The 15,679-nt window shown below is 41.8% G+C and overlaps 1 protein-coding gene across 173 annotated transcripts in view; it reads left to right on the top strand.

Annotated features, from left to right (window-relative positions):
* The window catches only part of PTK2 (protein tyrosine kinase 2), a 344,180-nt gene that overhangs the window by 241,532 nt on the left and 86,969 nt on the right, over positions 1 to 15,679 (top strand). For 171 of the 173 annotated variants that reach the window (NR_148039.2, NR_148038.2, NR_148036.2 and 168 more), the window contains 2 exons: positions 8,232 to 8,316; positions 13,688 to 13,788. Coding sequence is in view for 166 of the 173 variants with exons in the window: in NM_001352699.2 (NP_001339628.1) it covers positions 8,232 to 8,316; positions 13,688 to 13,788 (186 nt within the window). In the remaining 7 variants the exon portion in view is untranslated. Of the gene's footprint in view, positions 1 to 8,231; positions 8,495 to 10,138; positions 10,349 to 13,687; positions 13,789 to 15,679 lie in introns of those variants that run through there. The other 2 variants (NM_001352747.2, NM_001352748.2) reach the window with 2 other exon arrangements.

The following is a 15,679-nucleotide window of genomic DNA, read 5'->3' as shown; positions in this document are numbered from 1 at the left end:
ACTTTCTGTATCTATAGATTTGTATATTCTGGACATTTTGTATAAATGAAACATATAATATATGGATTTTTTATTATCAGCTTCTGCTTAGCATAATATTTTTAAGGTTCATCCATGTTGCGGTATGTGTTAGTACTTCATTCCTTTTTATTGCCAAATAATACTCTTTTGTATAGATATAGACCACCTTTTGTTTATCCTTTCATCAGTTGATGAATATTTGGGTTGTTTCCACTTTTTGACTATTAAAATGTTTCTGTGAACATTCATATATGAGTTTTTCTGTGGATATATATATATATGTTTTGTTTTGTTTTGTTTTTTGGTGAGACGGAGTCTTGCTCTGTCGCCAGGCTGGAGTGCAGTGGTGTCTTCTCAGCTCACTGCAACCTCCGCCTTCCAGGTTCAAGTGATTCTTCTGCCTCAGCCTCCTGAGCAGCTGGGACTACAGGCGCGCTCCACCACGCCCAGCTAATTTTTGTTTTTTTAGTAGAGACGGGGTTTCACCATGTTGGCCAGGATGGTCTCGATCTCTTGACCTTGTGATCCGCCTGCCTCGGCCTCCCAAAGTGCTGGGATTACAGGTGTGAGCCATCGTGCCCGGCCCTGGATTTATGTTTTTAGTTCTCTTTTGTATATGCCTATTAGTGGAATTGCTTCATCATATGGTAACTATTGTTTGTGTGTGTGTGTGTGTGTGGGTGAGAGAGAGAGTCTTGCTCTGTCAGTCAGGCTGGAGTGCAGTGACGCAATCATGGCTCACCGTGGCCTCGACTTTCTGAACTCAAGTTATCCTCCCTCGTAACTAGGACTACAGGCAAGTGCCACCACACATAGCTAATTTAATTTTTTTTGTAGAGACAGCGTCTCTCTACATTTTCCAAGCTAGTCTCAAACTTCTGGACTCAGGTGATCCTCCTGTCTTGACCTCCCAAAGTGCTGGGATTGCAGGCATGAGCCACTGAGCCAGCCAACTTTTTCTTTCTTTCTTTCTTTTTTTTTTTTTTTTTTTTTTTTAGGACAGGGTCTTACTCTGTCACCAAGGGAGTACAGTGGTACAATCATGGCTCTCTGCAGCCTCAACCTCCCAGGCTCAAGTGGTCCTCCCACCTCAGCCTACCAAGTAGCTGGGACTACAAGTGTGTGCCATCATTCCCAGCTAATTATTTTATTTTTTTTAGAGACAGGGTCCCATGATGTTGCCCAGGCTGGAATGTTTAACTTTTTGATGAACTGCCAAAATGATTTCCAACACAGCTGTACCATTTTATATTACTAGCAGCAGCGTATAAGACTGCAGATCTCCACATCTTCACCAACATTTGTTATTGCATGTCTTTTTAAATTAGATTGGTGATTTTTTAAATGACACTTTAGACTAATAGTACAATCATGTGCCGTGTGTAAAGATGGGGATACTTTCTGACAAATGCATCGTTAGGCGATTTCATGATCGTGCAAACGTTACACGGTATACTTACGCAAACTTAGATGGTCTAGCCTACTACACATCTAGGCTATATAATATAGCCTGTTGCTCCTAGGCTACAAACGTGTATGGCATGTTACTGTATTGAATACTGTGGGCAGTTGTAGCACATGGTATTTGCATATCTAAATATAGAAAAAGTACTGTAAAAATACAGTATAAAGTATAAAATAACGGTACACTCATATAGGGCACTTACCATGAATGGAGTTTGCAGGACTAGGAGTTACTCTGGGTGAGTAAATGTGAAGGCCTGGATTATGACTACACTACTATAGGCTATAAACACTGTACGCTTTGGCTACGTTAAATTTATCTTAAAAACTTTTCTTAATACTAAATTAACCTTAGCTTATTGTAACCTTTTTACATCATGAACCTTTTAAGCTTTTTTCTATTTAAATTTTTTTAATTTTTTAAACTTTTTTCTTAACTAAGACACAAACACATACATTAGGCTAGGCCTACACAGTGTTGAGATCATCCACATCACTGTCTTCGACCTCCACACCTTGTCCCACTGGAAGGTCCTCAGAGGCAGTAATGTGCATGGAGATGTCATCTCCTAGGGCAACAATGCCTCCTTCTGGATACCTGCGAAAGGCCCTGCTTGAGGCTGTTTTACAGTTAACTAGTTTTTGTTTTGTTTTGTTTTGTTTTATAAGTAGAAGGGGCTGGTGCTGTGGCTTATGACTGTAATCTCAGCACTTTGGAGACTGAGGCAGGAAGATCACTCGAACCCAGGAGTTCAATACCAGCCTGGGCAACTTAGTAAGACCCTGTCTCAAACAAAATTTTAAAAATTAACCTGGCCTGGTGGTGCACACCTGTAGTCTCAGCTACTTGGGAGGCTGAGGAAAGATCATTTGAGCCCAGGAGGTCAAGGCTGCAATAAGTCTTGTTCACACCACTGCACTCCAGCCTGGACAACAGAGTGAGACTCTGCCTCTAAAAAATAAATAAGTAGGAGTACACTCTAAGATAACAATTAAAAGTGTAGTATATTAGAAAAAAAGAAAAACAAAGTATAGTAAATACACAAAACCTGTAACATAGTCGTTTATTATCATTATCATGTATTAATCACTATACATAATTGTATGTACTATACTTTTATATGACTGGCAGTACGGTAAATTTGTTTACACCAGCATCACCATGATCACATAAGAAATTTGATTTCTGTCATGTCACTAGGCAGTAGGAATTTTTCAGCTTCTTTATAATCTTATGAGACCACTATAGTATATGTGGTCCATCATTGACCAAAATGTTACTTTGTGGCACATGACATGCTTGCTCAAGAAACTGTCTTTGAACTAGAATAGTAGCAGGTGAACAGAGATGGCTCTAATAAAGTTACAATAACAGAGAAAATTGACTCTTATTTTATACCCCTGCTTGGAAACTGCAAATGACCATTTTTTTCTTCAGTAACTCCATGTTTATGCATTTTTAATGTCCTTTACACGTGTACTAGTGATGCTCTGAGCATTACTTTTATAACCCAAAAGTTATAAAAGGGTTTTTTTTAATCAAAGATAACAGATAATTGCCACCAGTAAACTAACCAAATTAGTTCACTTTTGGAAGCCTTTACTCTTGTGCTTATATCAAATTGTATAATTTGTTGTATATTTTTTGCTGTTTTTTACTCCTTTTTCAATTTTTTTTAACTATGGGTGTATTGTCTATATTCCACAGTCTCTTAACTCTGCCCTTTGAGGCAAAGTAGAGTAGAAGGAGCAATGGATGCAAATTTAGTGAAAAAGAAACAAACAGACAAATTTAGATCTGGCTCTGCCTCAGTTTGAGATTGGGGGAGATAAGGTGACTACATTACTGGAATGTAACTAAATTATCTCTGAGCTTCCTATAATCTCCAAAATTCCTGATAGGTAAGCATTCTAAAGTTCCCAGAGTACCATGACTTAAACACAGGTAATAGCAGGGTTAGTGGACTTTATTTCATTCACTTTTAAAATACGTAATCCATTTTAGTTGTGAAAATACAAGATAATTTTTTAAAATAGCCATAATCTAAATTTACTTTTTTCTTTTTTTTTTTTTGAGACGGAGTATCGCTCTGTTGCCCAGGCCAGAGTGCAGTGGCGCCATGTCAGCTCACTGCAAGCTCCGCCTCCCGGGTTCACGCCATTCTCCTGCCTCAGCCTCCCGAGTAGCTGGGACTACAAGCGCCCACCACCACGCCCGGCTAATTTTTTGTATTTTTAGTAGAGATGGGATTTCAACGGGTTAGCCAGGATGGTGTCGATCTCCTGACCTCGTGATCCACCTGCCTCTGCCTCCCAAAGTGCTGGGATTACAGGCGTGAGCCACCGCGCCCCGCCTTTTTTTTTTTTTTTTGAGACAGAGTTTCCCTCTTGTTGCCCATGCTGGAGTGCAATGGTGCAATCTCAGTTCACCACAACCTCCCGGGTTCAAGCGATTCTCCTGCCTCAGCCTCCCAAGTAGCTGGGATTACAGGCAGGTGCCACCACACCCGGCTAATTTTGTATTTTTAGTAGAGATGGGGTTTCTTCACGTTGTTCAGGCTGGTCTTGAACCCCTGACTTCAGGTGATCCGCCCATCTCGGCCTCCTGAAGTGCTGGGATTACAGGTGTGAGCCGCTGCGCCCGGCCCATAATCTAATGTTTACTAAATGTTTGTTGAATGAATTCCAGTCCCCAAGGATTCACATTTTGTTAAATATCTTTTTCTTTTTTTTTTTTTTTGAGATGGAGCCTTGCTCTGTTGCTCAGGCTGGAGTGCAGTGATGTGATCTCCAATCACTGCAACCTCTGCCTCCCGGGTTCAGGCGATTCTCCTGCCTCAGCCTCCCAACTAGCTGGGATTACAGGCACACACCATCACACCCGGCTAGTTTTTGTATTTTTAGTAGAGACAGGGTTTCACCATGTTGCTAGGCTGGTCTAAACTCCTGACCTCCAGGGACCCACCTGCCCCGGCCTCCCAGTGTGCTGGGATTACAGATGTGAGCCACCATGCCCGGCCTGTTGAATTTCTTTCTTGTGTATATTGTATATGTTTGTTTTGTTTTTAATGTGGGAGTCTAATTTTATAGTGCAAAGCAGTCTGTTCATTTCTCTTAAGTTTCTATTATAAATCCTTTTTCTAGAACATGTTCTTTAGTATTCTGTAAAATCAAATAATATTTTATCAAGCATTCTTGATGATTGGTCAAAATGTAACGTGGCATAAATTTCATGGGCAAGGACCAACCATTGGATACTTTATTTAAGGTTCAGTTAATTCTTTGAGCAATTTTGTAATCATTTTCTGCTCTGTGACAGCTACTGTTTCTAGGTGGTGGGGGGATATAACTTAATTCTACCCAAGGCACAAGTTGACAGGCAAAAAAGACGTACGCTAAATCCCAAGAGGGTCTGAGAAAAACAATGCATGGAAAATGGGAGGTCAAGATGCTGTTCCACATGGGATGCTCAGAAAGAACTTCTGACAAGACGTGTTAGCAGAGCTTTGAAGTAAGACAGGGAGTGGAGCTTGAGCATTCTCATGGGGAAGCCTGTTCTAGGCAGAAGGAACAGCCAGTGCAAAGGCCATGAGGCGGGGCAGGACAGTACACCACCAGGAGGACGGTGTGGCCGCGGAGTAGAGGGATAGGAAACAAAGGGAAGGCAAAAGGAAACCTTTTGGAGACTAGGAGAGCCACCAGGGGACATGTGTGGGGCCATGTGAACCTTGAGGTAAGAATTTTGACCTTCATTCTGAGAGTCAGTAAACATGAAGTTTATCTGATTGGCACACATTTTTTTCTTTATTAGGCAAGATTATCAGGCTTGTTTTTTCTTTCCTTCAAGCACCTGCTGATCACTGGCACATTCTCTCATTATTATTCGCAGCCTTAAAATCCGTTATTAAATCTAATTTTCTCTTAATTCATCCTAGAATAGCTTTTTTCTACATTTATTTGTTAAGATATTTTAAACGTCTACTAGCTGTTATTAATTCAGAGCCTAATCTTGCATCCCTTGTCTAGGCATAGTGGCCACAAGGTGGTATTTTCATTGAACAATGAAAAACTTCTCTTTTCCCTAAATATTGCCTGTATTTTACGAAGATTTTAAAAATCTATTTTGAGTAATTACCAATTAGTAACTTTTTAGTTTTTAGAAAAAACCCTTTGCACACGTTCTGGTCTTACTTACTTTGAACTGACCCATTCTCCAGCAGTCCGATCTCTGTAACTGGCCCTTCTAACAGTTCAGCATTCCCTAGACCTCTGCTGTCCACTTTAGGGGCCACTAGCCGCATGTCCTATTCGCCAAACCGAAGGCTGAGCCTCATAATCTGCTCATGTTGGCATTTTGTATATTTGCCAGCTATGGAATCTTACACTTAGCATTCATTTGAAACCCTAGGTCTTTAAAGAGCAGTATTTTGTTTGCATTTCCTTAGACTGTCTTAATAAAGCACCATGTTTACTGAGTATTTGATTAGTTGACAGGATTAATGATGGTTTTAAGGTCTTATCAAAGATTTTGTTGCTCTGATCGTCTATAAAATGGACATTTTCGGTCAGTTTTACAGTATACCAGCCATACAGTTTTCTCGTATACCTGTTACTTGCAGCCAGCCTCATATTTAGCTAGAAAAAGAATTCATGGTCATGGTCCTAAAGAAGTACACAGTCTAATTAAGGAAGACAAGACTGACTCATTCAAAGCAAAGTGGTTATATTTTAGCACAGATACGGTTAATGATTCTAAGGTTGTAAACTCAAACATTTAGTAGATAGGGTATTCTGTGCTCTTGTTCACATTCTGTGTGAGCCAACTACTCTGTCCTCCAAGGACCACGTCACCATTACCACCTGAACCCCTTCCTTGAGGCATCTGGCACATGGGCATGCCTCCTCTGGAGGTGAAGAAAGGGAATGCAGTCCCTGAGTCGATGATACAGTTCTCTTACCATTCAGATTTCTCTTGTTTGAAAATGTTTTATTTCCTGGAAACACATAGTATACAACTAGTGTGAAGTCTAAAATAAATAAAGGTATTTAAGGTATTTTGAAAGTATGCGACAGCTAACTTGTTAAGCAAAACACAATTTAAGGTATTTTTAAAATATGACACATCTAACTTATTAATGAACATCTTCATTTAAAAGAAATATATTAATAGCATTAATTAATTCTGCAGATCTTTACTGAGCATATAGTATGCATCAGTGCTATACTAATGGGGATTTTTTGACAAAACAGGCAAGTTACTTGCTGTCTTGAAACTTACATTTTAGTGATGGAGAATAGACAGTAGTTATGTAAATGACAATATTATCTCTGTGTTATGTATAATTATAATATATAAAATGATATAATGTGAAAGACAATAGTAAGTGTGCATAATGACTTTTTGGCTTTCAGAGCAACACATTTTCTTGGTTTGTCTCCTGCCTTCCTGGTCACCCCTTCTCAGTCTCCTTTGACATTTTCCACTCTTGTCCCTGACCTCTTCATGTTGGAGAGCTTCAAAGCACAGTCCTTGGACCTCTCTCATCTCCCTTGGTGATTTCGTCCAGTCACATGGGCTAGGCTACTTCTGGATTTCTATGTCCAGTTCAGATTTCTTTCTTGAACGCCAGTCACAGTATCCTGCTGGTCACTTCACCTGTGTGACTTGGCTATCTTACTGACATCTCAAGCTTATTACATCCCAGGCCGAGCTTCTGATCTTCCCCTTCCATCTTGTCAGTTTTTCTGGTCAAAAACCTGAACTTGACTCTCTCACACCTGCATCATGAGCCACCTTTGCCCTAGCTTCAGAGTATAACCAGAATCTCAGCCCTTCTCTCCACCTCCACTGCTACCATGTTTGTCCAAGCCACCATCACCTGTCACCTGTCACCTGGGGTACTGTGGTAGCCACCCGCAGAACTCCCTGTGTCTCTAACCTTGCCTCTCTGCAGCCATTTCTCAGTACCACAGCAGAATGCTCCTTCAAAATTTTGGGTCAGGCCATGGTACTCCAATGTCCAAACCCTACCTTGGCTCTCCATTTCACTTGAGTAAAAGTCGCATCTTTCTATTGGCCTTGAAGGCCCTGTGTGGTCTGGCCCCTCCGTTCCTCTCTGACTCTGTCATCTTCACCCTCCTACCTTCCACCCTCTGTGCCAGCCTCACTGGCTTGCTCATGTTCCTTGAGCACGCTATACACTGTTCCCTGCTGTTTCTTAGCCAGCTCCCTCTCCTCCCTCCTTTAGTTTTTTTGCTCTTGTCTCATCTGCTCAGTGAGGTCCCCCTCATACAGCAGCCTCCATCCCTGTCTCCATATCCTGATCTGCTCTCTCCCTTTTCTGTAACACGGTTACCTTCTAACATACTATGTAATTAATTCTTTATTTATTATCTGTGTTCCTCACTGGAGTGTAAGTGTGACAGGTACAGGGACTGCTGCCTCTGCTGTTCATCAGTGTATCCCAAGCACTTAGAATAGTACCAGCCACATGGTGTATCTCTAACACATGTTTGTAGATGAATGAATAAATGATTTGCTGTAATGTTTCACGTGCATGACCATTTTTCTCAGGGGATTTTATACTGAGTGTTTTTAAGTATCCCTCTCATTCTTGAGATTTTGCCGTTCTGATTCTGTCTGGTCCATAACCCACATAGTTGCAAAACAGACAGGTTTTCATGAATCAATTAATATAGCAAACCTTTTTGCATGTGTGTGTGATTCTATAATTTCCCTAACACAGGAGAATCCAGCTTTGGCGGTTGCAATTAAAACATGTAAAAACTGTACTTCGGACAGCGTGAGAGAGAAATTTCTTCAAGAAGCCTGTAAGTGTCTAGAAATTTCTGTGGAACTCCATTTGACTTTCTATCTGTGAAATCCAAACTGTCTCTGAAGAAATAAGAAAAATAGTGTTTTGACTTTTAGGAGACAACTATGTTTATTATTTTGCCTTGCAAATTAATGTCTAAATTTGTACAAGCACCTATCTACAGATTTTTCCAGGTAAACCATCATGTTTTATGTGTAAAGGTAGATTGATGTGCATTTACTTTATACTTTGGTACTTAGGCCATTACACATCTTTGCACTGGAATTGGTGCAGATATATAAGTGATCCTAATGTTGATGCTGCCCAGACCCCAGGAATGCAGAGGTGAGCATGACACACACAGTCCCTGCCCTGATGGAGCTCATAGACTAGTGAAGGAATAGGGCTCTATGACCATTCCCCTTGTCCTGCTACAAAATCAGAACAAATCACCCAGGCTGGGCACGGTAGCTCACGCTTGTAATCCTAGCACTTTGGGAGGCCAAGGCAGGCAGATCACCTGAGGTCAGGAGTTTGAGACCAGTCTGGCCAACATGGTGAAACAGTCTTCTACTAAAAATACAAAAAATTAGCCGTGCATAGTGGCACGCACCTGTAGTCCCAGCTACTCAGGAGACTGAGGCAGGAGAATAGCTTGAACCCCAGAGAGGGAGGTTGCAGTAAGCCGAGATAGCAACACTGCACTTCAGCCTGGGCAATAGAGCAATCTCTGCCTCAAAAAAAAAAAAGAAAGAAAGAAAAAGAACAAATCACCCAAAAGGAGGCCAGGTGTGGTGGCTCACACGTGTAATCCCAGTACTTTGGGAGGCCGAGGTGAGAGGATTGCTTGAGACCAGCCTGGGCAACATGGTGAAACCCCGTCTCTATGAAAAAATTTAAAAATTAAAAAAATTAGCTGGGCATGGTGGCGCATGCCTGTAGTCCCTGCTACTTAGGAAGCTGAGATGGGAGGATCACTTGAGCCTGGGAGGCCCATGTAGCAGTGAGCTAAGATCGTGCCATTGCACTCCAGCCTAAGTGACTGAATGAGACCCTGTCTCCAAAAAACAAAAGAAAAGAAAACTTCACGCAAGAAGAGACCTCAGGAAAGGACTCTTCTGACGGCTTCCCAGGTGACTTTAGCTAGAAACACTTATCTTTTTTTTTTTGAGGCAGTGTCTGTCTCGGGTCTCGCTGTGTCACCTCCTGGACTCAAGGGATCCTCCCATCTCGGGGCTGCAAATACCTGGTACTACAGATGGGCGCCACCACATCCAGCTAATTTTTTGTATTTTTGTTTGGTTGGTTGGTTTTTTTGTTTTTGTTTTTGTTTTGTGGAGAGACAGGTTTTTGCTGTTTCCCAGGCTATTCTAAAGTTCTAGGCTCTGCCTGCATCAGCCTCCCAGGGAGCTGGGATTACAGGCGTGAGCCACTGTGCCCAGCCCTTAGAAATAATTTTCTCCACCTCCATTCCTCTGACTCTTGGTTTGTGCCTCCTCTGAAGAAGCTTCCTTGAGTGAGCTCTGCATGAATAGGTCTTCTTTCCCAAATGTAAGCTCTTAAAGAGCAAGGATCTTGTCCACATCAAGCTCTTCCTTACCTGCCCTCAAGCGGTGATGTTCCTCTTCCTCCTTTCCTATGGTTTGCCTCTTCTCATGCTTCAGGCCCCAGCTTAAACATTACCTCCAATAGAGAACCTTTTTCTGACCACCATATTTAAAGTCTCCCCTTACTATTTTTTGTCACACAAGACTAGTTCTTTTTCTTCCTAATGATTCCTAATTAAAGCTACATTGTTTACAAGTGATTATTGCCTGTCTCTTCCTCTCTTCCTCTAGGCCTTAAGCTCCCTGGGGATAAGGACCATGTTTGTTTCGCTCACCACTCCATACTCAGTGTCCTGCACAGTACTTGACACCTAGAGAACACCTGGTAGATGTTTGTCATTCTGGTGTCCTTCATTATATGTGCATCAAATGAATGCCTTCTGTTTTCCATTGTAATAAATACCACCCAACAGTCCAATAAATTAATAATTCATAGAGTAAGCCATGTGGTGACTACATTAATTAAGTCTTAGTACATCCTTAATCCTATTCCTGAAACTTTGACTTAAGTACAAGAGAAGGCCTGGCCAATGACTTCTGTCTTGACTAGTTCATTTCTGCATAGCACCTAGGCCAAGAAAACAGACCACATCAGTCATCATCACCCAACACCATATCTGCCTTACCTTTGCTGGTATTCTTGTGCATTTTATATTTTCAAAAATGAAAATTTTAAAAATTGGTTATCTTTTCCTAAAATTCTGAACAGTTACTATGTTGTGATTTTGTAGGACTTTGGAATTGTCATTACAAAAATCAGTTATATAGTTTTATAGGAGTAGTCAAGTCGGACTAATTGTTTTCTTCTCTGAGAGGTTACTCAGCAGTTATTTCAGGGAAATGTGATAGATGTAGTGTATCTAAACTTCTGTAGGGCTTTACCAGGCTATATATAAGAGAAAAAATATGGCCTCGATCAGGAATTGTTAAACTTTTTCTTTAAAGGGCCATATAGTACATATTTTAGGTTCTGCAGACTATGCAGCCCCTGTCCCAAGTATTCAGCTCTGTCATTGTACATCCACAGACAGGACAGAAAAGAATGAGCAAGAATATGTTCCAGTAAAACTTTATTTACAAAAGCAGATGGCAGCCCCTGGGCCTTAGCTTTCTGCCCCAGATGGGTAAATAACAAGGGAAACTATTCTATGTGTTGATTTTTAGTTCAGTTTGGGTAGAGTTTCCTAGTGGCCACAAGACTCTCTTAGCCTTGTGCTGTTTTGTGTTTCTAATAATTACTTCTGAGGAAATATGAAAGGCTTGATAATTATATGTGAGAATAACATAAAACCAAAAGTTATAATAAATAGTTACTTACAGTAAATTGAAAGTACGGTTGTGAATATGCTGGGTGCCTGAGTGTTTATCCAAAAATATCATGGTATAAGCAATGAACTGAATGTGACAAGGTGAGATTTAATTATATGTTTTGGATTATGTGCTGGGTGTTTACATTATATGGGTTTTTGTTGGTGATGTTTGTTGAAAAAAACTACCAGGTCCTGTTCTTGGAATATGAGGGAAAACTTGTAAAACACATAAGTGAGCTAGACAGAACACCCACTAATATTGTTTTGCCCATTTCAAAGTCTTTCACAGTTTTTTCTCACAATGGGCGATACCAGCTATTCTGTAACATGTTGGCAGTATTACATGTTGATCGTATTTTTAAAATTACTTCTGTTATTCTAATTTCCTTGCTTGGCATCAGAATTATTTTTCCCCATTTTTATAGTCTGTGAAATCAGGTGTTTTTGGACCCACTGGACCAGGTCACCTTTAAAATCACTTCCAGTTTTGAGATCCTATAGTTCTGTGAAGTCTGTCCTGTGTCTTACTAATCCTAGTATACTGTACAAGTAACCTTCTTAGCCCTGATACTAGAAATTATAAATGCATACACCTTAACATACATGTTCACACACAGATATGTATGTCTATATGCAGTGCCCTCTTGGTCATCTTGGCTCAATTAGGCGGTCAAACTCATGTTACTGCCATAGGCCACATTTAGCATCAGACTCTCCTGAGAGTAGTAGTACAGGACCATAAACAAAGTATGCCAAAAAAGGCAGCAGCTGGCATTTCTCTCATGTGAAAGTCCTCACGGCTGTCCTGGAAACTTTTTTTTTTTTTTTTTTTTTGAGACAGAGTCTCAGTCTGTCGCCCAGGCTGGATGGAGTGCAGTGACGCAATCCCGGCTCACTGCAGCATCTGCCTCCCAGGCTCAAGTGAGTCTGCTGCCTCAGCCTCCTGAGTAGCTGGGACTACAGGCACACACCACCACGCCCAGCTAATTCTGTATTTTTAGTAAAGATGGGGTTTCACCATGTTGGCCAGGCTGGTCTCAAACTCCTGACCTCAGGTGATCGGCCCACCTCGGCCTCCCAAAGTGCTGGGATTACAGGCGTGAGCCACCATGCCCAGTAGAAAGTCTTTTATAGGGCCCTGAAAGCAACCAGTTAAATTTAAGAGGACAGGACCACAGTGGTGGATGCAGGAACCATTTATGTCTAAGATAGAAATCCTTTGTGAGTGCCCCATGGGTTGTGGCTTCCAGGGCCTTGCAAGGAACACACCCAGTTACCATAGTCTCCACACTCAGGGCAGCTTCTAGCTATAGCTTTCCACCAGGTATTTTTAATCCCATTTCACCTCCTCCCCCAGCAATTCACCAGTCAGGAGTGATTTTTACTGTAAAGATGGTTGCTTAGTAAATGAATTACACACTCCTACTTACCAGATTTCTAGAGGAAAACCTAGGAAGCTACCCCAAGGTCACATATGTCCATAGGAAAAAAGAAATGGTTGTCGTCGTCTTTCTTCTCCTTCACTTCCTCCTCCTCCCTTCCTCCCCCTCTTCCTCCTTCCTTCCTCCTCCTTCCTTCCTCCCCCTCCTCCTACTTCCTTCCTCCCCCTCCTCCCTTCCTCCCCCTCCTCCTCCCTCCTCCTCCTCCCCTTCCTTCTCCCCTTCCTCCCCCTCCTCTTCCTCCTCCCCCTTCCTCTCCCCTTCCTCCTCTTCCTCTTCAGCCTCCCCTTCCTTCTCCTCCTCCTCTTCCCCCTCCCCTTCCTCCTCCTCCCGTTCCCCCTCCTCTTCTTCCCCCTCCTCGTCCCCCTCCTCTTCCTCCTCCTCTTCCTCCTCCTCTTCCCCCTCCTCTTCCCCCTCCTCTTCCTCCTCCTCCTCCTCTTCCCCCCCCCTTTCTTCTCCTCCTCCTCCCCTTCCTTCTTTCTTCCTCTTCCCCCCTGCCACATATGCAGAAGGAAAGAAGGATTTTTCTTAGAGGTTACCTTACACCTCAATAGTAGGACATACCTTTTTGTGCCAATTTATGCCCATTTGTGAGCTGAACTGACCTGTGGAATTGAGTTTTAAAGTTCCCCTATTGCCAGCCTTATGTCTTAATTGAATTCATCTTCAGAGAAGCTGAAAGAGTTTTCAAAAGAATAACTAGGCCGGGTGCGGTGGCTCACGCCTGTAATCCCAGCACTTTGGGAGGCCAAGGCGGGTAGATCATGAGGTCAAGAGATCGAGACCATCCTGGCCAACATGGTGAAATCCCATCTCTACTAAAAATACAAAAAATTAGCCGGGCGTGGTGGTGGGCGCCTGTAGTCCCAGCTACTCGGGAGGCTGAGGCAGGAGAATCACTTGAACCCAGGAGGTGGAGGTTGCAATGAGTCGAGATTGTACCACTGCACTCCAGCCTGGTGACAGAATGAGACTCCGTCTAAAAAAAAAAAAAAAAAAGAAAGAATAACTATGGAGAACTTTTTTCCTAGTAACAATGCGTCAGTTTGACCATCCTCATATTGTGAAGCTGATTGGAGTCATCACAGAGAATCCTGTCTGGATAATCATGGAGCTGTGCACACTTGGAGAGGTACTGTGATCCCCAAATCTTACCTTCTGGACTCAGCGTTTGATATCTTTTGCTTAAGAAAGGAAAATATAAACAGTTTATATCTTGGATTTTCAGGAGAGTTCTGATTTAGGATGTATGTCATTATGGTTTTGGTTCAGAGAATATGGGTATAAATATCTTCATCATTAAATTCCCAAAGCATCCCCTTATGCAGTACTGGCAGCAATATCTTCCCCAGCCAAGTACTTTATCAGGATTGGTAGCCGCAGATGGCCAAATGTTTGGTTTTATTTTTTCTCTCTGGTGCCATTGCCTAAAAAACTAGCCCAGTGATCTGAGGATGAAGCAATCTTAATGGAGTTTGGGTAAATTAATGCTAAATTTAGGTAAGTCTAAACATTTCCTTTATCTTTTTGGGAATTCACTTTGTAGCATCTCATTTTTTGAGAGACAAAGTCTCCCTCTGTTGCCCAGGCTGGAGTGTAGTAGCATAACCACAGCTCACTGCAGCCTCGACCTCCTGGGCTCAAGCGATCTCCCACCTCAACTTCCCGAGTTGCTGGGACTACAGGTGCATGCCACCATGCCTGACTAATTTTTTAATTCTTTATAGAGACGGGGTTTCACTATGTTGCCTAGGCTGGTCTTGAGCTCCTTGGCTCAAGTGATCCGCCTGCCTCGGCCTCGCAAAGTGTTCTGATTACCTGGCTAGTAATACCTTTTAAACCAACTTATTTAAATCACAGTTTCTTTTTTCTTTTTTCTTTTTTTTTTTTTTGAGACAGAGTCTCGCTCTGTCGCCCAAGCTGGAGTGCAATGGCGCGATCTCAGCCCATTACAACCTCCGCCTCCCAGGTTCAAGCACTACTCTTGCCTCAGCCTCCTGAGTATCTGGGACTACAGGCACGTGCTGCCAGGCCCAGCTAATTTTCGCATTTTTAATGGAGACAGGGTTTCACCATGTTGGCCAGGCTGGTCTCGAACCCCTGACCTCCAGTGATCTGCCTGCCTTGGCCTTCCAAAGTGCTGGGATTACAGGTGTGAGCCATCGTGCATGGCCGTACTTTCTTTTAAAAATGTGAGTAATTGAGTGAATAGCTCTCTCACTTTCTCCAGAATACAGAAACAAATCAGTGCATCACCAACACTTGGAAACTCATTAAACAAGTTCTTGTGCCCCATCCCAGGCCTGCTGAATCAAACACTGGGCCGGGGGAGCATTGTGTGATTTCATCAGCTGAACATCTCTTCCTCCTCCACCAAATCAAATGGAGTGCTTATGTATAATTTCTTGTTCACGGTACTTTTCTGCTTTTGCTTTTGGAGAGTTTGCTAATTCTTCCGGCTCAAAAAATATGGCTAAATATTTCTCTCATCAATTATTTAGAATTAGGGTATTAATTGTGTCTGCCTTTCTTTGCCATGTCAGCATTTACCTCTATTAATGGTGTCAGTGGTAGCATGAACAAGTAAGTACATTGTGATAAATACCCAACATGACTGTTCTGTGCTTCTGCATCCAAAACTTCATGGGGAAGGAAATAAGAGGGGAGATTCCTTCTTGTCCCTGCTTTCTCCGCATTACATTATCCTCATACCTTCGCAGAGCCACAGTAAGGTTTGAAGTGGAGATAACTGACTGTGTATTAGCCTTGTTTGGATAGTAACTAGATCTTTTTTCTTCCAGTTGTTATTATTATTTAGCAATAATTTGTACTGTGCTTTTGTTCATTCCATTGAAGCTTATCTTTCTATATTTTTTAAGAAATTTGTCGTTAGTCAAAAATATTTTAATTTCATGATAGGATTTCAAATAAAAAATAATCTGAATCCAGAGTTTAAATGTTTCATTTATTATGCTTTATTAGAAGAGACTTGAAGCCATTCTAATATTATTAAAAATGCATTG

Source organism: Homo sapiens, chromosome 8 (genome assembly GCF_000001405.40).
Source record: "Homo sapiens chromosome 8, GRCh38.p14 Primary Assembly".
Lineage (NCBI taxonomy): Eukaryota > Metazoa > Chordata > Mammalia > Primates > Hominidae > Homo > Homo sapiens.
This window is presented reverse-complemented; position numbering and strand designations above follow the sequence as displayed.